The following is a 19,863-nucleotide window of genomic DNA, read 5'->3' on the forward strand; positions in this document are numbered from 1 at the left end:
TCGTGCTGTGTTCCAGGAAGCCAGTGACTCTTCTGTGCATTGGCCCCTCCATGCCCTGAGACAAGACATGACCCAGGAAGGGGAAGGAACTGGGCAGACGTGGGGAATCTGGGGCCCAAAGAGACTCAGACTCCACGTTCTCAGCTTCCGCTCAGCCCGCAGCCAGGCCCAGGCTCTGGCGCTCCACCAGCAGCACCGCAAGGAGCCTGACAGCGCCCCCCGCAGGCCTTTCACTAGGCAGTAAAATGGACAGAGCAGCCACGGCGCCCCTGGCTGGAAACAGAGAAAAAGGCAGCATTTGGAATGCTATGGACCTGGTTTAAACTCCTGCCCAGCCACCTTCCAGCTCTGTGACCCCAGGTGAGTCATGCTTTGGGCCTCCATCTCCTTGTGACTCAATGGGAACAGTGACCGGGATGCTGTCTCCTTCCGCCATCAGAATGTGCCGTTTAGGAGTAACTGACATGAGCTCAGGGAATTCCCAGGCCCCTAAATCCTGAGGAGCACATAGCAGCCTTGGTGTCCCCAGAGCAGCTGAGAGGAGGTAGAGCTGAGCCAGCGCTGGCTCTGGAGCCAGGCCTCCAGCTGGACCCCAGCTTTGCTGAAGACTCGCTGTGTGGCCTTGGGTGGGTCACTAAACCTCTGTGTGCCTCAATTTCCTCATAGGTAAGCATTTGCTCTGAAGGCAGGGAACCCTAAGGGGGTGGGTGTGTGTCTCTAGAAGGCAGGCCCCCGCTGGTCTCTTGTGGCAGGGGAGGGACAAACCAGTTTTGGAAATGCCTCCGTACATAAAAGCCTCCCGAGGTGTAGCCCTCCCCAGGCAGGCTCTGTGAGGGGAGATTGAGATGCTACGCACGTCCTTCCCCAGAGTCTCAATCAGTCTTCCTCGAGTGCCCTTCAGAGGCTGGAAGCAAGGTCGCCGAGACACGGGGAGCTCAGGAATCAGCTCCAGTGTGGCACCCAGGGACGGTGCTGGGGAAGGCAGGCATGGGTAGGCTGCAGCCTCTGCTAATTGGGGATCACCATCCTCAGGTACTACCCCGACAACAGGCTCTGTCTCTGGCCTCAGCCACCAATAATAGTGCCGGACACCCATGTAGGTCAGAGGGTCCCCAGACTACCTCCCACGACCCTCCACAGAGGCCACTTCTACCTGACTGGCCCCAGTCCAGGGCTTAGGTTCAAACTGCCACAGACAGCTGGGGTCTCTAGGGTCCGTGAGAACCACCAAAAAGAGTGTGTGCCTCAGGGGGCAGAACCCTGCCAGGCAGTAATATGATTTATTCCCACTGAAAGTCAGAGGTGTACAGCTGGGCCAATGCACACAAATGCAAGGAAAGGGCTGAAAGCCACCCACTGAAATGTTATATGGTTTAGGCGAGTCTTTTTATCTGCAAATAATAATCTGTAATAAAGAGGAGGGAGGGGCGGGGCCCGTTGGCTCACACCTCTAATCCCAGCACTTTGGGAGGCCGAGGCAGGAGGATTGCCTGAGCCCAGGAGATGGAGGTTGCAGTGAGCTATGACTACTCCACTGCACTGCAGCTTGCACAACAGAGCAAGACTTTGTCTCAAAAAAAAAAAAAAATTAAAAAGAGAGAAGGGGAAAAAATTAAAAACCTGAGTGTCTTTTTTTTTTTTTTTTTTTTTTTTTTGAGATAGAGTCTCCCTCTGTTGCCCAGGCTGGAGTGGTTCAATCTCAGCTCATTGCAACCTCTGCCTCCCAGGTTCAAGTGATTCTCCTGTCTCAGCCTCCCAAGTAGCTGGGATTACAGGTGCCCACGCCACCACGCCCAGCTAATTTTTGTATTTTTAGTAGAGACGGGGTTTCATCATACTGGCCAGGCTGGTTTCGAACTCCTGACGTCAGGTGATCCACCCGCCTCCGCCTCCCAAAGTGCTGGGATTACAGGCGTGAACCACTGTGCCCAACCAAAACCTGAGTGTCTTTAAAAAAAAAATCTACCTGTTGCCAAAATGCCTGCCGCCTACGTCAGGTCTGTGGATCTCTGGGACGTTTCATTGAAATACTTAACTTTCCAACCCACCCCTTGGTACCTGACTGACCCAGGGAAAGCTTCTGCCACCCTTCAGAGGCCCCTGGGGGCTCTGAGTCAGGCTCTGACCAGCACCACGGAGCTCTCTCTGCCCACCCCAGGAGGCCGCATAACCCGGCCTGCTCTCAATGCCTGCCCCCACTCAGCACCTCCAAGCCCTGAGGCAATTAATTAACAAGGCTTTTAAAAGATGTTTTCAAATGATACAAACAGGGAAGGGCGGAAAAGGGAGTCCTTGAGCTACAGAAATTCTTCACTGAAGAGCCTTTCACGTAAGTGCTTTTCCCTAAGGAGCCCAGCAAGGTAAGGCCACGGTGTTCTGAGCAGACACCAAGGACACGGTTTCATTATGTTGAAAATTAGTTAGAAGATGCCTCAGCGGGGCTCTAGACCTCTTCCTTGAAGAAAAACCCATTTGGATAAATCTGAAAAATCCTCCTGCACATAAGAATTTTTTGGTGCCTGCTCTGAGCCAAGCCCTACGCTGCCTGCTAGGGACAGAGAGCCCCCCACTGCCTGCAGGTTCTCATGGTGGTAGGGGTGACACCACGGTTCCTGGGACAAGAGGGGACACAGGTGCTGCGGGGCAGCGAGGAGGAAGGGGCGCTTGGCAGGGCCTCACAGAGGAGGGCTTCACAGAGATTGGAGGAGGAGGCTTTGGAGGGGTGAGGGAGAAGGAGGGGGATTGATGGGGCAGCCAGAGTCATTTCAGGGGAGCACCTCAGCTTTTCCCAAGGGCTGGTCTCAGAGATGAGCCACAGTGATCAAACCACAGTCACCAAAATCCTCCGTGCACACAACACAAGGCCCATCTCGGAGCTGACTCCACCTAAGGAGGAACCAGCTACTGCATGTGCAGTGAAAAGGAGTCCTTCGCCTGCAGCCGGGCACCAGGCTTGTAGAATTCAGCAAATAATAGTTATTAATAAATGGCCAACAATCATGGCTCTTCTGCCCAGGCCCAAGGAGCCAGCTAGAACTGTCAGCAACCTTCCTCTCCTGGTCTCAGCTCCTCTGCAGAGGTCTCACGCTGGAGAGGGACACTGGGACAAGGATGTGGCTCAGAAGTGGGCAGGCCTGGTTAGGCCACTAACCAATTAGAGTTCTGAATCTCCAAGACCCACAAAACCAGGGGCTGATTTGGTCAAATCTGTGATATTTTTCCTCCTTCAGAATAGAAACCAGTCCCCAGAAATATCCATAAAAGCCTCAGACACATCTGACCCAGCAATTTCACATGCAGGAATCCAACCTATGGAAACAATCAAACACACAGATTTACACACAAGGATGATCACTGCATCGTCAGTGACAGCCTTAGATATTTGTAGAATATCAGTGATAGCCTTAGATATTTGTAGAATATCAGGCTGGGCGCAGTGGCTCACGCCTGTAATCCCAGCACTTTGGGAGGCCCAGGCAGGCGGATCACTCGAAGTCAGGAGTTCAAGCCTGGGCAATGTGGCAAAACCCCGTCTCTACTAAAAATACAAAAATTAGCCAGGCATGGTGGCAGGCACCTGTAATCCCAGCTACTCGGGAGGCTGAGGCAGGAGAATCACTTAAACCCAGGAGGCGGAGGTTGCAGTGAGCCGAGATCATGCCACTGCACTCCGGCCTTGGCAAAAAAGTAAGACTCCATCTCAAAAAAAAAACATCTAATAATATGAGAAAATGGTCACAACATATTAAATAAAAAGGAGGCCATAAAACAGCAGGATCTCGGCCAGGTGCAGTGGCTCACACCTGTAATCCCAGCACTTTGGGAGGCTGAGGCTGGAAGATCACTTGAGCCTAGGAATTCAAAACCAGCCTGGGAAACACAGCGAGACCTTGTCTCTGTTTTTTTAAAAAATCTTTTTTAAAAAATAAAAATAAAATAGAACGGCAGGAGCTCAATTTTACAAAAAAAAAAAAAGGAAAAAAGAAAACCATACATATTTACACACATACAGGGTAATCTCAAAAGGAAATACACCAAAATATTAACAGTGTTTTTCTCTGGGCAGTAGGATAACTTTTTTTTTTTTTGCTTCAAAGTTTTCTGCATATTTCACATATTCTACAACAAACATTTTATAGTCAGGAGAAAAATACATGCTGTTAAAAAAAAAAAAAAAAACATTCAACCCTCCATCACATGAGGCCAATGATGGGCAGTGGAGGAAAATGCTGGAAATTGGGAAGATGAAGGTTTCATCTGATCTCGTCCCAAAGCCAGTGGCTGCACTCTTGGCAGATGTAAATGACACAAGTCAGAAGAAAAGCAGGCCATGGGCGCCCAAATGGAGACAGAAGAGCCGCCTCACATTCAAAGGCGGCAGGAAAAACAGCCGTCTTGAGAGCCCCCTGCCATTATCCGCCCCAACCCAAGACTGACACAAAGCCCCACTCTTTTTTTCTTTTCTTAAATTATTATTATTATTATTATTATTATTATTATTATTATTATTATTATGGCAGAGATGAAGTTTCACCATGTTGCCCAGGCTGGTCTCAAACTCCTGGACTAAAGCGATCCTCTCGCCTCGGCCTCCCAAAGTGCTGCGATTACAGCTGTGAGCCACTGTGCCCGGCCCAAAAGGCCCACTCTTGTCCAGCTCTATCCTTTCCCCATCCCCTTCCTCAGAATGGGGAGACACACTTTCTGGATATGTCTAGGACCTGAGAACTCACTCAATTCTACCCGTGCTTCTTAAGCCTGCTTCATGCCAGGCCCTATGTGAGGCACTGCAGGTAAGAATCAAATCAAAGAGCCAGGTGTGGTGGCTCACGTCTGTAATCCCAGCACTTGGGGAGGCCAAGGCAGGTGGCTCACTTGAGGTCAGGAGTTCAAGACCAGCCTGGCCAACATGGTGAAACCCCATCTCTACTAAAAATACAAAAATTAGCTGGGTGTGGGAGCATGCACCTGTGTAATCCCAGCTACTTGGGAGGCTGAGGCAGGAGAATCACTTGAACCCAGGAGGCGGAGGTTGCAGTGAGCCAAGATGGCACGACTGCACTCCAGCCTGGGCCACAGGCCAAGACTCTGTCCCAAAAAAATAAACAAATAAATAAAAACTTTAAGAATTAGGTCAGGTCAAAGACCAGCTCGCACACCTCTAAGAATTAGGGCTCACTACAACCCACACCCCTGGGCCATGCTATCAGTCCTGGAAAGAACATCCTCCATTTGACCAGCCATGGCGTCTCAAAAGCCTGTAGTCTCAGCACTTTGGATCGCTTGAGCCCAGGAGTTTGAGACCAGCCTGGGCAACACAGTGAGATCCCATCTCTACAAAAAATAAACAGAACTAGCCAGGCATGGTGATGCACATCTGTAGTCCCAGCTACTCGAGAGGCTGAGGTGGGAGGATCACTAAAAGCTGTAAGTCAAGACTGCAGTGAGCCATGACTGCATCACTGCACTCCAGCCTGGGTGACAGAGTGAGACCTTGTCTCTTAAAAAAAAAAAAAAAAAAGGCCAGGTGCGGTGGCTCACATCTGTAATCCCAGCACTTTGGGAGGCCGAGGCAGGTGGATCACGAGGTCCGTCTGGGAGACATCTACGGTGGAAGGTAGAGATTCAGACCATCCTGGCCAACATGGTGAAATCCCATCTCTACTAAAAATACAAAAATTAGCTGGGCGTGATGGCGCATGCCTGTAACTACTCGGGAGGCTGAGGTGGGAAAATCACTTGAACCCGGGAGGTGGAGGTTGCAGCGCCACCGCGCTCCAGCCTGGCGACAGAGCGAGACTCTGTCTCAAAAAAAAAAAAAAAAACTCCATCCCAGCCCAGCTTACTCCCCATTGGCCTTTCCTCTGCGCTCCTAAGTCCTACCTGTGTTCTTCTGTCCAAGGGTGGGGTTCACAGGCAACAAATCCTATCCCTTCAACCCCTCCATCTCCAAAGGAAAAAGCCCTTTCACAGTCTCAGGCACAGACAGCACTCCTGGCCTTCCCTAGCAGGCAGGTGAGGTGGTATATATAGCCCAGGCATAATTGGATGCTAATTCCTTTCTGCAGAAGAGCCATCGGCATTTCTATTCTCTCCTTTCTGAACTCTGGAGCAGAGCTCGCTGCAGTCGGGAGGCTGTGACTGACATGGACGAGGGCCTGCCACACAAGCACACATCATGCACGCCCTGCTCACCCCGGCCCAGCCCCTGCCCAGGTGATTCCTATGGAAGTCTCAGAAACAGACATCAACCCACAGCTCCCCACTTCCCCAGGCCTGGCAACAAGCCAGTCAACGCCTGCCCTCACGTCCAGGTGAGCCAATCTCTCCCTGCCAGGCGCTGTAGTCCACATCAGCAACCACCCCATTTGGGCCTGCCCAGTCATCATGATACTTAGCGCAGGAGGAGGTGCTGGTTCCTGATTCTGGACAATTTGATGACAAATGCCGCTTCCACACATGAACGTCTGGGCAAAGCCCCAGCTCTCAGACACATCATAGAGCCCCAAGTCCCACCCATCCCCACCCTCACAGAGTCACACCCTCCCTCCCTCTCCAACCTCTATTCTCACCCAGCCAATCCATCATGAGACCCCACCTCCCTGTCCTCCAGCGAGACTTCAGGCCACGGAGGGCCAGGTCCTGCTGCACATCGTGGGAAGGAATCTATTCCCTAGCAGGTGGGGGAGGTGGAGCCCACACTTCCCACCCTGGGGGGCAGGGGGAGTGGGTGCCACAGGGGCCACAGGAGTCAGGCAGCCTGGACTCCAGCCTCCCTCCACCACCAGGCCAACCATCAGCAACACCCCCTCCCAGCCTCCAGCCTCCACCAGTACCAGGCCAACCATCAGTGAGACCCCCTCCCAGACTGCAGCCTCCCTCCATCATCTGGCCAACTGTCAGTGAGACCCCCTCCCCTCGCTGAGTAAGAGCAGTCAGGGAGATGCCATTAGAAGGTGGGAGACGCCAGGAGCCAGCCCACTCCAAGCCGCACTGCCCACATTCCCATCAGGATGCACCTTGCTGGGAACCCGGCCTCAAGGAGGCTGTGAGTAGCAAGCAGCTCCCCAGCCAGGGTTTCTAGAACAACAACATAGGCATTTTATTTCTTTTCATTAAGCTTCTTAGTTTCTTAGTATCACAATGGAATGATGAGAAAACAACAAAAACGTGAGTCTTTGCAAATCTCTGACAAAGAGCAGAGATCTCAAGGCAATTGGGGCGGGGGAGGCTTGACAGAAGTGCCAGAGCAGTTCCAACGTCACATCTCTCCTTGGCTGGAATGGTGAGAAGGTGGCACTGTCGTGAGCTGTCCTTGGCAATTCTGCCCCATGAGCCACGTGCGCCTGGTCTGCATGGGCCACCCCGCGGGATTTCCTGGTGCCTCCTAGTACCTGGCCACACACCCCTCCGCCTGCTCCAACGCCCTGGGAGCACCGTCCAGTGCTCAGGTGGACCCAGAAGCCAGCTCTGCTGGGCAGCGGCAAGATGTGGAGGAGCGGCAGAGGCAGGCAGCGTTGCTTGCGGTGGGAGAAGCCAAGGAGTGTGACCAAGGCCCATCTGGGAGACATCTGTGGTGGAAGGTAGGGCTGGCGCAGGTGGCAGCAGCAGAAGTCCGTGTCCCCAGGCAGTAGCAGGCCTAGAGCTTCACAGTGCCAGGGGGCAGGCTGTCGTTGCAGAGTCTGTAGTAGCGCAGGTCGTTGACCAGCCTGTGCACATTCTGGGTGAATGAGGGCAGGTCCTGGAAGGCAGGGGCATAGCTGCAGCCAACAACACACCAGGTCACCCACCCACCAGACCCCAACAGCTACTTCCATCCCAGAGTGTGCACTGAAGATAGGGGAGCACTTTCTAAAACTCAAAACTTCTATTCACTGTTGCACTGCGTGTCACAGAGACTCTGTGCCAGGCGCTGTGGGAGAAAAAGAACAAGAGGAATACGTCCCTAGGGCCTCTCGGGTGCCAGACACTGCTGCAATCAACATACAGACATCAACTCACTGAGTCCTCACCACAAGGCTGCCACCAAGCCCTACCAGAACCACTAGTCTAAGGACAGAAAGACCAAAGCGCTGCACCATGAAGAAGCTGGCCCCAGCTCACACTGAAGAGACCAGCACACTTGCTCCTGAGTCCGGCCCCTCAAACGCAGACATGGCTGTGGTGACAGCCCTCTTCTTCACCATGGCCCCTTGAGGTGACGCGCACACCGAGCAATGTCTGCAGAACCTTTACCCACGGGGCTCCAGGCCGCCCCTGCCCCTCGAGAGCCACCCGAGCAGCAGCAAACACAGTCCCAAGGCCTGTCCCACTGGGCGCAGCGTGGGCCATGGAAGGCCCTGGGCCAGAAGTGAGGCCCTGACCTCCGCCATCATGCACACGGTGAGACCCTGCTTTTTTTTTCAGTGTAGGTCCCGGTGAGGACTCAAACAGGCCCAGCAAGCCCCAGCAGAGCCATGAGCAGGACCAAGTTCATTTTCCTGCCCAACCACTATTCCTCTTCCAGAACTCCATTCAAAGCCTGCCTCTTCCCAAAGTCTGCACAGATGCCTCCTATTTCCTGGCCCCAGCAGCCAGCTCAGCGCCTCTGTCCTGAGCAATCTGCTTCTGGGGAGTGTGTGCAGGCTCTGGGGCCAGAACACCCAGGTCTGCCTCCTGCTTCGCAGCTCTACCACTTCCAAGTTCTGTGAACTGCTCACCTTCTGAGCCCCCACCATCTGTGAAATGGGGGAGTAACAGGACCCACACTTCAGAGGCTTGTTAGAAGGCTTACTCGAGCCAAGACATGTCACATGCTTGGCACTATGTGGTCCACAGAGGGTGCTGTATTGGCCTGTCTACCATGAAAGACTTGGTGAAGGCTGGGACTGGTGCCCCAGTTCCTGGCCCGGGGCTTGAGAAGCAGCTGGCTTCAAACACACAGTGCGTGACTGAATGGAAGGTGGTGATTCTTTTATTTTACCCTCAAAAAACCAACTAAGGGATGTCTTTTAAATCAGTGGCTCCCAAATGCCAAACCAGAATTTCCTGGGTAGAACACAGAAGTCTGTTTCTCCATTTTTAATAAGTACCCCAGGTGCTTCTGATATAACTAGATTTTTTTTTTTGAGACAAAGTCCCACTCTGCCGCCCAGGCTGGAGTGCAGTGGCACAACCTCCGCTCACTGCAACCTCTGCCTCCCGGGTTCAAGAGATTCTTGTGCCTCAGCCTCCCAAGCAGCTGGGATTACAGGCGTGTGCCACCACACCTGACTAATTTTTTTTATTTTTAGTAGAGACAGGGTTTCGCCATGTTGGCCAGGCTGGTCTCAAACCCCCTAACCTCAAGTGATCCGCCCGCCTTGGCCTCCCAAAGTGCTGAGATTACAGGTGTGAGACACCGCGCCTGGCCTATAACTAGATTTTGAAACCACAGCTTTAAATCAAAAAGTTGACTGATATTGATGTCGTTAGAAGCTGATCATTAAGTATTAGGATCTGGCCTCTAGAAAAAGGAAAAAACATATCCAGGGGCTGAAGTGAACTGGAAGAGGCTTAGGAGAGAACAAGTCCCAAGAAAAGGAAGACCCCAAGACAAAGGAGAACAGGATGAGTCTAAGCAAAAGCTTCCCTGCCACACGTGGCAAATGAGGAAAGCAGGCGGCCAGGTTTGCACCAGTGAGAGCAGTGTGTGCATCTGAGCACTACGGTGGAGCCGTGGACAAGCTGCTTCACAGAGGACTCAGGTCAAGAACCCCAAGAGGACCAGGGAGAAAGCGATTTCTTTTCCTAATTTCATCAAGTATAAAACGGTACAAGGAAAAGTTCCCAGAAGTTCCTATCAGGCAAGAGAGAGGCCTGGTCACCTGACACAGGAAGAAGAGAACAGGTGAGCCCCATGGGGAAGGAGGTCCCAGGCACTGTCAGGCTCCAACAAGATGGCCTCATGGACACCAAGAGCCAGCAGCACCCAGCTCCCACCGAGGTGCTGCACGGGTGGGGACAGCCCACCTGACAGTCCCTGCACAGGTGGCAGCAGTGGGACAAGAGGGTGAGTACTAGGAGGGCTCCTCCCAGGACCTGGCAGCAACTCAGCCCAAGCTGAGCTGGGGCTGGTCTGGAAAGAGCCCAAGACAGCCGGGGAACCTGGGTCCCACCTCTAACCCTGGGGACCCAGAAGTGCAGCTCCCAAGCACCAACCATCTCAGCCTGAATGCAAGCCTGGGCACACTCCAATGCTGGCCCCACCGGGGCTCATCACCCAGGAGGGAGAACGGCAGGGTCCTGGGTATGAACAAAGATGCCAAGACAAATGGAGGGGCTGCAGAGCCAGGAACTCGGGACCTCCATGGCTGAGACTAAGAACATACGTGCTACAGACACCAAGACTGGGGAAAAGGCTGTGCCCCTCAATCAGGCTACAGCACCAGGTCAGCAGGCATCTCGTGAGCTGCCGCCAAGCTGCAGGGTGGGCACAGACCACGCCCAGAGGCCTCAATGTGCCCCCTCCTTGCTGCACAGGTGCCAGGCTTGCGTGCCCACTCTGCCCTCCTCTTAGCCCGGCCTCTTTCTCTCCTCACCCGATCCATCTTGAAATTCCGCCCCAGCACACTTTTCTGGTTGGCATCCACACCATCACAGCTGGTCAGGAACTCTGGGAGGAAGGCGGCAAAGAAGCCATCAAAGTCGACTGAGGCCATGTTGTAGATGGCGATGCCAATCTCCTCCTGCAGAAGATCATGGGACTTGTGGACCAGGACCTGGAGCAGCACGTTCACAAACTGGAACAGCATGGCAGTCCGGAAGATCTTCTGCAGGCAGAGAGACCAGGTGAGCAGCAGCCAGCCCCCAGGGGCCTGTCCCGGGTCCCATCCACTTTCTGTCACACTCTCCAGTGAGTAACCTGAGGGTGGGACACAGGCCACAATGCCCCTGATGGAAGAATATTTCCAAGAGCTGGGGCACTTACCTTGTGGTACAGCTTCTGCTTGGTGTTGAGAGTCTCCAAGTAGAAGAGATTTTGTTTAAAAAGGTGGATGTCGGGCTGGAGAAAGGACTGTCCGAAAGCCTAGGAAATGAGACCACCATTTTATAAACTGCAAGACCAAGCACTTCTGGAGCATCTACCCCATGTCAGAAGAACAAGTGCCAGGGCCAGGGTACCCATTGTCTTGATGCTTCTGGCCCACCAGCTCAGACCTCTACGACGCTCCTCCTAAGTCTCAGAGTTCATGTTTTCCCCACCGGGCCTTGCTTCTTATTATGGTCTCATATATACCTTTTTTAACAAACCTCTAGAAACCCATCACAGGACCTGGCTTTGAAGCAAGAAGCTCACACCTCTAGTCAAATCCCTCAGCAATCCTGGCAGACAGACACCAAAGCCTGCCTGCCTGCTCCTGCTCAAGCCAAGCAATCCCCTCCCTTGCCCTCCTTCTTGCATCCCCCGTCTCAAAAGCCACAAGCCCTACAGGCTCCTTCATGGAGCCTCCACCTGGAGGTTAAGCCTCTGCCTGGGGGCTAAGCAAAGTATTTTTAAACTGCTTTGGAATTCCTGGGTGTAAAAGTTACTAGTTCAGTCCAGGCACAGAAGCTCAGTCCTGTAATCCCAGCACTTTGGGAAGCCGAGGTGGGCGGATCACTGAAGGGTGGGAGTTCAAGACCAGCCTGGCCAACACGGTAAAACCCCATCTCTACTAAAAATACAAAAATTAGCCAGGCGTGGTGGCGGACGCCTGTAATCACAGCTACTCGGGAGGCTGAGGCAGGAGAATCACTTCAATCCAGGAGGCAGAGATTGCAGTAAGCTGAGATCCTACCACTCACTGCACTCCAGCCTAGGCAACAGAGCAAGACTTATCTCAAAAAAAGAAAAAAGAAAAAAATTACTAGTTCAGGGGCAAAAAGAAACACCCCGCACACCAACACAAAGTGCCCTGCTCCAACAGAAAGAATAGAAAGTGACCATGGGGGCAGTCGGGGAGGCCGGTGGTCTGCAGGACCCCCCTACAAAACAAGTGGTGACTGCTTTGTCATTCTGTCCCTGGGCCCCTAAGCTACCAGAGGAGGATCTTGTAATCCCTGCAGCAGGGATGAGATCTCCATGATGACCAATAGTTTCCACTTATTTACTGTTTAAAGTTAGGTTCATGGAAGTATAACAGAGTAAACTTTTGAGGTTTATCTTTCTATGAATTCTGACCTACCTGTGGATTTGTACCACCACCATCACAACCAAGACAGGACACTTCCATCACCTGGAACGTCCCCTCACACCCTCACCCCTAAGGCAACCACTGCTCATTATCTGTCCCTGTGGTTCTACCTTTTCCAGAATGTCATAGAATGGCATGGGATCCTACCATGCATAGCCTTTGGCATCTAGCTTCTTTCACCTGACAGAATGCATGTGAAACTCATCTATGCTGCTGATTGTACCAAGAATCCATGCTTGCTTATTGCCGAGTGCCAGTCCCTTAGAGGCATGCACGAGCCTGTTCATCCATTCAGCTGCTGGATACTCAAAGTGTTTCCAGCTTTGGCAATTATGAAACAGCTTCTATAAACATCAGTGTACAGGTTGTGTGAACATATGCTTTCATTTATCTTGGGTAAAATACTTAGAAGTGAGACTGCTAGGTCATACAGTAACTACACACTTAACTTTAAAAGAAACTGCCAAACTGTGAAACTATTCTCCAAAGTGCCTTTCACCAGCCCTCAGTGGGGACCAGGCACCAGCGTGCCAAAGAAGTCTTCCAGGCAAGGACAGGGTTCAAGAGAAAGGCAGGGGAGGCGCAAACACTTGAGTACTGCAGACCTGAGGCCTCGGTGGGTGCCAGGGATGGGAAGGCCAGGGCAAGGGCACGTGCCTGAAAAGAACTGCCACACAAGAGTCAGTATGTGTGTGTGTGCGCGCGCATGCGCACGTGCATGCCTGTGTGCATGCTGTGTGCTAGTAGGGAGCTGGAGGGAGGGTGGAAATCCCTCTTGCTTCCCCATGAGGAAAAGCATGCACTGAAAATACCAAAAGAGACTCCCCTAGCTAGACTCAGATGAGAACGTCAGACACTTGAGTGCAGACCCTGGGAGCGTGCCTGACACAGCCACAGAGCAGGCTGGCTGTCTGGGCGAGGTGATGCCGTCCCAGTCTTCCACAGCAAGGGGTATTTAGCCCCCAGACAGTGCACTCTCTCCAATGGACAGCTGCATCTGCCCTGAAAGCGAATGCTCCCTCCCAGGGCAGTGTTTCTCCCAGTATGGTCAGAGTCAGAATCACAGTGCAGGTCTGGGGCCCTCCTGCGGAGACTCATATTCAGGCAGCTCCCCGCTAAGAAGGCCCTCGGTGACTCTGGCATAGGCAGGCTCTTTACACTTGGGGAAACAGCACTATGAGGTCAGCGGAACTGACGTTTATCAAGCATCTCCAAGTGTCATGCACTTTGTGTATGTCATCTCATTTAACCTCACAACAAACCTGTGACCCAGGCAACATTAGCTCCACTTTGCAGATGAAGAAACTGAGGCTCCAAGAAATTAATTAACTTCATCAATACTAACAGGCAGAACTGAGCTTCAGACCCGAGACTGTGGGGCTTCGAAGACAGGACTCGCTGCAGTGGTCAGGTTAGAGGAAGTCACCTGGCAGCAACCCCGCCCCCACGTTACCTGCATGATGGCACTGAACTGGGGCTCATTCTCCATCTGCTCCTCAGCGATCCCCCTCTGGACACTGGCCAGCACGGTGGACTTGAAGAAGTACCTCCAGTTGTGATGGAGCGTCCGGAAAAGGAGCTCAAACAGCTCGGCCTTCACATCAGGGGAGGGACGCTGCAAAGACACACAGACGCTCAGACCTGCAGCTTGCGGAGCTGCTCCGGCCTGGGCCCAGGGCAGCAAAGATGCCTAGGAGACGCCTCGTGACAGCAAGCCGAGTGTCAACACTCCATCCACATGCCTGTCACTACCTGCGCAAAAGACATCCAGCCCCTGGAGTCCTGTCACTGCCTGTGCAAAAGACATCTAGCCCCTGGAGTTGGCGGTTCACACCGCGAGTTCTTCAGGAGAGACATGGCCCACATTTGAGAGAGAATGCACGGGTCAGTGCCAAGGGCCCCTTTTTCTGATGAGCACTCAGCTTTTACACTAGAAAAAAGCTACCAAGTGGATGAACAATTAGGAGTATGGATTTCCTGTTCTATTCGACCTGTCAGATCTTCTTGCTTGTTCCTTTTCCCAGGATAAAAAATGCTGTCCCACTAACCTGTTGGTCTTACACAACCACGGAGGCTAAAGACAGACCCAACGCCTTAAAGCGATTCTGCTCCCCAGAAGGGGAGGGTTTAAAGAACACTTGGGAGCCAGGCTCTCTGGGCCAGTCTCCTCTTTCCCAGTAGCCAGGATTCTGAGAGGAGTTAGAGGAGAAGGGTCAGGCTCAGCAGTGTTTTCTCATTGACTCCAACTCCCCCAATCCCTTATTCCAAATGTCTCTGCAGAATTCAAAATTAGAAGGCCCACATATATTCAGTTCAGCCTTGATTAAAATTAAATAGACACCAGGGGCCACAAGCATCCACAGAAGAAGCCTCATAGGCCCAGTGCATTTCGTAATGCACAGCAACCAGACCTGTCCCAGTCTCAGTTCAGACAGTTAAAGATTAACTCTTATTTATACGACTATTACCAAAAAAACTGAAATTAAATCTATACTTATTCCGGGTCTTATTATGCTGAGTGCCTGCCTATTTTCTAAGAAGGACAAAGGGCTTTCCTGTAACACTGAAAGGTTTGTTTGAATGGTTTCAAGAACTTGCCTTGTATCCTCGAGACCATGAATGTTTCTAATAGGAAAGTACATATGTTAGAATGTTTGCTATAGAAAACCAGAGTCTCTTAAAGGTATAAAATTTGCCGCAGGAGACTGATCTTAGCAACTGACCCTGTGGAATAACTGCCATGCTTACACTAGACTAGCTCCAATGAACTCAATCAATATAAAAACACTGTACCACACCACTAAAGGCCTTCTTCCTTGGGAGAAACTACTTTACAAGCATATTAAACTAACAAATGAACTTTAAAACACAATACATTTTCTGTGAAATCTCATTCCCTTCCCAATCTGGAGATGGGGGGTGCTGCACAGGGGACCGTCTGAGCCCCTACCTCGGCAATGATGGGATACACTTGCTCCATGCACAGGGCGATGATGCTGGGGAGGAAGGGCTTGAACACCTGGCCTGGCTCCTGGACCACCACCTGCAGGATCTTCAGAAACTTCTCCACCACCCGGCAGCCTGTGCTGCCCTCGTGGAGGATGCTCTCGGCTAACTGCTCTCTACAGAGGAGAAAGCCACACAGTGAGCAACCACATGTTTCTCTGGGGGCCAGCATGAAAACCCATGCTGTGGCAAGTGCAGAACAGGAGCAAAAAGCCACACTTTGTCGCCAGACCCACCACTTCTCCCTTGAATCTGAAAACTATAGATGGTGGGTCTGTGCTTACCTGGTAAACATGTTGAGGAAAGTCTGTATGATTTGCTCAGTGAAAGGCACACCCATCTGTACTCTAAGGCCTCGAAACAGAGTGAGGAAGAAGCTCAGCATCTCATCAGTCACATCTGAGGAAAGGGGCAGAGATATCGTCAGAGGCTTGCACACAGTGAGAACCAGAACCCTGGGCTTCATCAACCTACTCCTGAAATCTGCACTATCAGCTTTCTCTACAGCTTCCTGCTGGAAACATTTCCCCAACACCATCAGGGCCAATGATGGAAAGTGGAAAACGATTAGGGACATGCTGAGAAAATAGTTCTGGTATAGGGAACCTCCACCTGGTGGCTCACTACAGGAAATGAAGGTCATCTCGAACCCTCCCTCATTGCCCGACATCCAGTGATGGTCAGAGTTTCACTGGAGAGGGATCACTTTGTGCCCACACTGATGAATGCCAACTGGGTCAACACCTGAGTGCTTAAGCCATTTCCCCCTATGACTAATAATCCCTGCAGCTGGGTCAGGGGTTAAGTGGTTGAAAGTGGATAATGAAGGTGTATTTAGGTTGCATGGCCCTGGTCCATTAAATGGATTAATTGCAGAAAATACTGGTTACATATAGGGCAGTTTCACTTCCAGATCTCAACAATCATCTTGTGTAGTGTGTTTCAGCCCTAACTGCACGCAATCTGCTTGCAAGAGGCAATGAATATTTGCTGACTGAGAAGTGCCTGATATTTCTCTTGTAAAACTGACAAGACTACTATAATGCTGTCATGAGAGCTAGGCAAGTACATCCACAGAGCTAGAGAGGCCCTCTATCACTGACAGTGACAGACAAGGGTGAGGGGAACGATCTCGGCAAATGCACCTTGCCACAAAATAAGGAGAACTAAGCCAAAAAAGCTCTCTTGCCTTCTCTTGTAGGTGCCAAGGCCCATATGGAGAGCTCTGCTCACTTTTCCAAAGGGCCTTGGCCCTAGACTCCACAAATAAACATCACTGCCCTTTCCCCTCAGTACCGGGTTTCGTTGCACGGAACAAGTCAAGGCCTGTACTGCACCGACTCAGTGTGTTCTACAGATCTAAGTGGGTATTCTGGCCCTTGTTAGCACCACCCACCAGTGGGGCCTCTGGGCCAGCTCCTACCTGACTGATGGATAAAAGCTGGAAAGAGGGCCAGGGAGACCTGAACAGATTCCTGCAGCGACTGGTAGCAAATCTGTCGAGACTTGGTGGACTCCCCCGAGATATTCTCCACAATATCTTCTAAGACGCTGAGTGTCTGGTGGATAATCAGTTTGGCTGCAAATCAAGATGAGTTGCAGGTTATAAGCTGTCTGGGGAGAAAGCATGGTAAGAGGAGACACAAGGGAGAGGGAGGAAACTTGCAAAGGTACCAAGAAGATGATCACACGAGTCTCACTAAAGGAACAGTCTCTTGATTACAATATAAATTCTCCTCTCTTTATGTTTTAGTTTTTGTTTTTACTATTATTACTGCCAGGACTCCAGAAGCCTGGAATGTGTGTTGGGGAGAAGATGCCTGCCTGCCTGCTTGCTCAGGTTTTTGCCTCTGTTTTGCCTCTGGCCATTGGCAACAAGTCCACAGAAGAAAAAAGATAAATAAATGTACCCCCAGGTTGGGTGCCTTGGATTTAATCAAATCTAAAAGATGGTGAATAGACTGGTGAGAAAATGAGTGTCATAAGGTCACAGGCCAGGACGGACACATGCAGCTCAAACCTTGTCACTCAGTGGGATGCTACTCCAGCCCAGTAATCCCACAAACACCTGCCATGCACATGTAATGGTGCTGGCTGCAAGAACAACCTGCCTGATCCATCTTTGGCCTATTAGCCCCGTAGCTTGATAAGGCATATAATTACTGTTATTATGTTATTGACAATACATAATGCTAACCCTGAGATGACTTTTGACTCCATATGGCACACAGGGAAAACAGATGTAGTGGGCCGCAAACAGGCAGAGGTCAGAGAGCCCTGGCTATGAACCACAGGTGACCATCTGAAGGCTATGTGCCATGGGCAGGACCCTCATCCATCTGGGAGAGCCGACAACCCCACTCTGGCAGTGCTGCAGTGGGGATTAGAGACAAGGTCCCGAACGATGCTAGCAGTGTGCCAGCCATCTAAGAAGGTCCAGGACGGAGATGCTGCCATTGTTCCCAGCGCGAGTGGAGTCACCCTCTTAAGATGCAGAGTTTCCCACCAGCCTCCCCAAAGTGACGCCCATGGCTCAGCCTGAGCCTAGCAGACTCAACCCTGGCGACCACCAGAGGCTGAGCCAGAGCTGGGCTGAGAGCTGCCTCCCACTTGGCAGCAGTCTCTGGGTCCCCCGAACCCCAGTGCTCAGCAGCCTCTGTGGGACTGCCGCAGCTTTGAGGAAGGGGTACGGCAGAAAGAAGACATGCTCAGGAGGCAGATGGAGGCAGGCCTGGCCCTGCTGCCCCTCATCTGAACACGTGGATAGAGAGCATCGCCCCACTCACAGGGCTGAGGATGAAGGAAGACGCTTCTCGCCACAGGCCTGGTCCTGGTCCCCCAGTCACAGTGACACTGGAGAGTAAAGGAAAGGCTCACCCACACTGCTGAGCAGGGAGCCGTCCACAACTACAAGCACATGGACTTCTACTCAGCTAGGAAACTGCACTCAGGGCAGCCACTTCCTCAAGAACGCACAGGCAACAGGGGAAGCAGTTTAGAGCAAAAAACCAACAGTCAAGAGACCAAAATCTGACCTCTGGCATTTAAGGAAATTCAAACGAGGACAAAAGATGTATTTAAAAAAAATACAAGTCAAAAATTGAAAGCACTATAAGTATATAATAATAGGAGAATGGGGTGGGTAACTGTTATACTTCCATGAGACAGGACATTATAAAACCATTAAAACCTTTTTTCTTTTCTTTTTTTTTTTTTTGTTTTCAAGAAGAAAGAGGCAATGCAGCAAAGTGGTGCAGAACACAGGAGCTGGAGCCATTCAGACCCAAGTCCAACTCTTGACCTCGCCCACTTTCTCTACAGTCCTGAGCAATTACACCTGCCAAGCACCTTCCCAATGGACAGACTGGCAGGCCCTACTCCCAACAGGCATCCAGACTGAGCATCACCAAGGATGGGACAAACAGAAGCAATGCAAGAGGAAATGCGAACACGAACATGCACCACTACACCACAACCTATGGAAACAATCAGGCAAAACAAGACTAGGAGACATATGACAAGAAAACAGGCCTGGACGCTTCAAAAATGCCAATGTCACGAAAGACAAAAACTGGGCATGCTCTTCTGGATCAAAGGAGACTAAAGAGATATAACAACCAAACACAATAAAACTATCCTAGATTACATCCTGGATTTTTTAAAAGCAAAAAAGAACAATTTGGTAACAACTGGGGAAAGTGTTAATATGGCTACATTTTAAATAACATTATTGTACCAATGTTTAATATCTTGTTCTATATAGATACAAAGGTTAAGTAGTCAGAGATGAAGTGTCAATTATCTGCAACTTAAACAGCTGGCTTTTAAGAAAAAGTGTGTTGCAGAAAAAAGCATAAATGTGGCAAAACATTCACAATTAGTGAATCTGGGTGAGAGAGATGCAGTTGTTCATTTTCTTATTCCTTTGGCTAGTCTGTAGGTTTGGAATTTTTTTTTTTCAAAGTATAAAGTTGAGATAAGAAAAATGAAACTTTCCAACCTTAATTTCAACACTGTGGAATGAGGATAAGACATACCTCACAGGGTTACAGGGTTACACAGGAAGTTACATGAAATAACGTATACAAAGTGCTCAACCCAGTGCCTGCACACAGTCAGCATACTGAAGACGTCATTCACATACTACACTGCAAACCCTTTCAGCACACAGTGGCATCACACCTCCCTGCCCTCTGAGTTAAGCCAAGGCCATGTAGCTGGCTCTGGCCAAGGAAATAGAGGTGGAAGTAGTGTTAGTTTCAGGCAAGACCTTTAAGAACCACTACGCAATTCACCACAATCCCTTCCAGAGTGAACACACTGAAATGGAGCCTTCCACAGCCTGGGTCCCTATGTGACCTCCCCACTCTGCTGACCCAAGCTGGACATATAGTACAAACAACATATCCTTTTTCTTCTTGTATTAAGCCACTACACTTTTGGAGTTGTTTGTTACCACTGAGCATATCCTCGCCCATGCAGACCAACATAACTCCCATGTAAGATAAAGTGCGGAAAGGAGACCATTACACGTGATAAAGCATGACTCCACAACAGCTGGATGCAAGCCCTGGGCAAGTTCCTTAATCTTCTAGACCTCAGCTTCCTCATGCTAATCATCAATCAAGATCCTAACAGTACCGAACTCATAAGGCTAATGTAA

General features: G+C 50.9%; 1 protein-coding gene and 1 long non-coding RNA gene across 3 annotated transcripts in view, besides 2 other annotated features; one reads left to right on the forward strand and one right to left on the reverse strand.

Annotated features, from left to right (window-relative positions):
* Positions 508-1,459: an enhancer, noted in NCBI's record as "H3K27ac-H3K4me1 hESC enhancer chr16:28102727-28103678 (GRCh37/hg19 assembly coordinates)". NCBI's record gives its function as "activates a minimal SCP1, AML or CMV promoter by ChIP-STARR-seq in primed H9 embryonic stem cells {active_cell/tissue: H9 hESC(primed)}" and the evidence as "EXISTENCE:reporter gene assay evidence [ECO:0000049][PMID:30033119]".
* Positions 6,432-6,931: an enhancer, noted in NCBI's record as "H3K4me1 hESC enhancer chr16:28108651-28109150 (GRCh37/hg19 assembly coordinates)". NCBI's record gives its function as "activates a minimal SCP1, AML or CMV promoter by ChIP-STARR-seq in primed H9 embryonic stem cells {active_cell/tissue: H9 hESC(primed)}" and the evidence as "EXISTENCE:reporter gene assay evidence [ECO:0000049][PMID:30033119]".
* LOC124903669 (uncharacterized) lies at positions 6,592-18,845 on the forward strand. The gene is made up of 2 exons (XR_007065032.1): positions 6,592-6,680; positions 18,427-18,845. It is a non-coding gene; the product is annotated as an uncharacterized LOC124903669 (long non-coding RNA).
* XPO6 (exportin 6) overlaps positions 7,078-19,863 on the reverse strand; it is a 113,990-nt gene continuing 101,204 nt past the window's right edge. For both annotated transcript variants that reach the window (NM_015171.4, NM_001270940.2), the window contains 7 exons: positions 16,624-16,779; positions 15,485-15,599; positions 15,145-15,316; positions 13,648-13,809; positions 10,949-11,047; positions 10,560-10,790; positions 7,078-7,741 (listed from right to left, as the gene is read on the reverse strand). In NM_015171.4, the coding sequence (NP_055986.1) occupies positions 7,640-7,741; positions 10,560-10,790; positions 10,949-11,047; positions 13,648-13,809; positions 15,145-15,316; positions 15,485-15,599; positions 16,624-16,779 (1,037 nt within the window). In that variant the 3' untranslated portion in view covers positions 7,078-7,639. The remainder of the gene's footprint in view (positions 7,742-10,559; positions 10,791-10,948; positions 11,048-13,647; positions 13,810-15,144; positions 15,317-15,484; positions 15,600-16,623; positions 16,780-19,863) is intronic.

This window comes from Homo sapiens, chromosome 16 (assembly GCF_000001405.40).
Source record: "Homo sapiens chromosome 16, GRCh38.p14 Primary Assembly".
In the NCBI taxonomy this organism is placed as follows: Eukaryota; Metazoa; Chordata; class Mammalia; order Primates; family Hominidae; genus Homo; species Homo sapiens.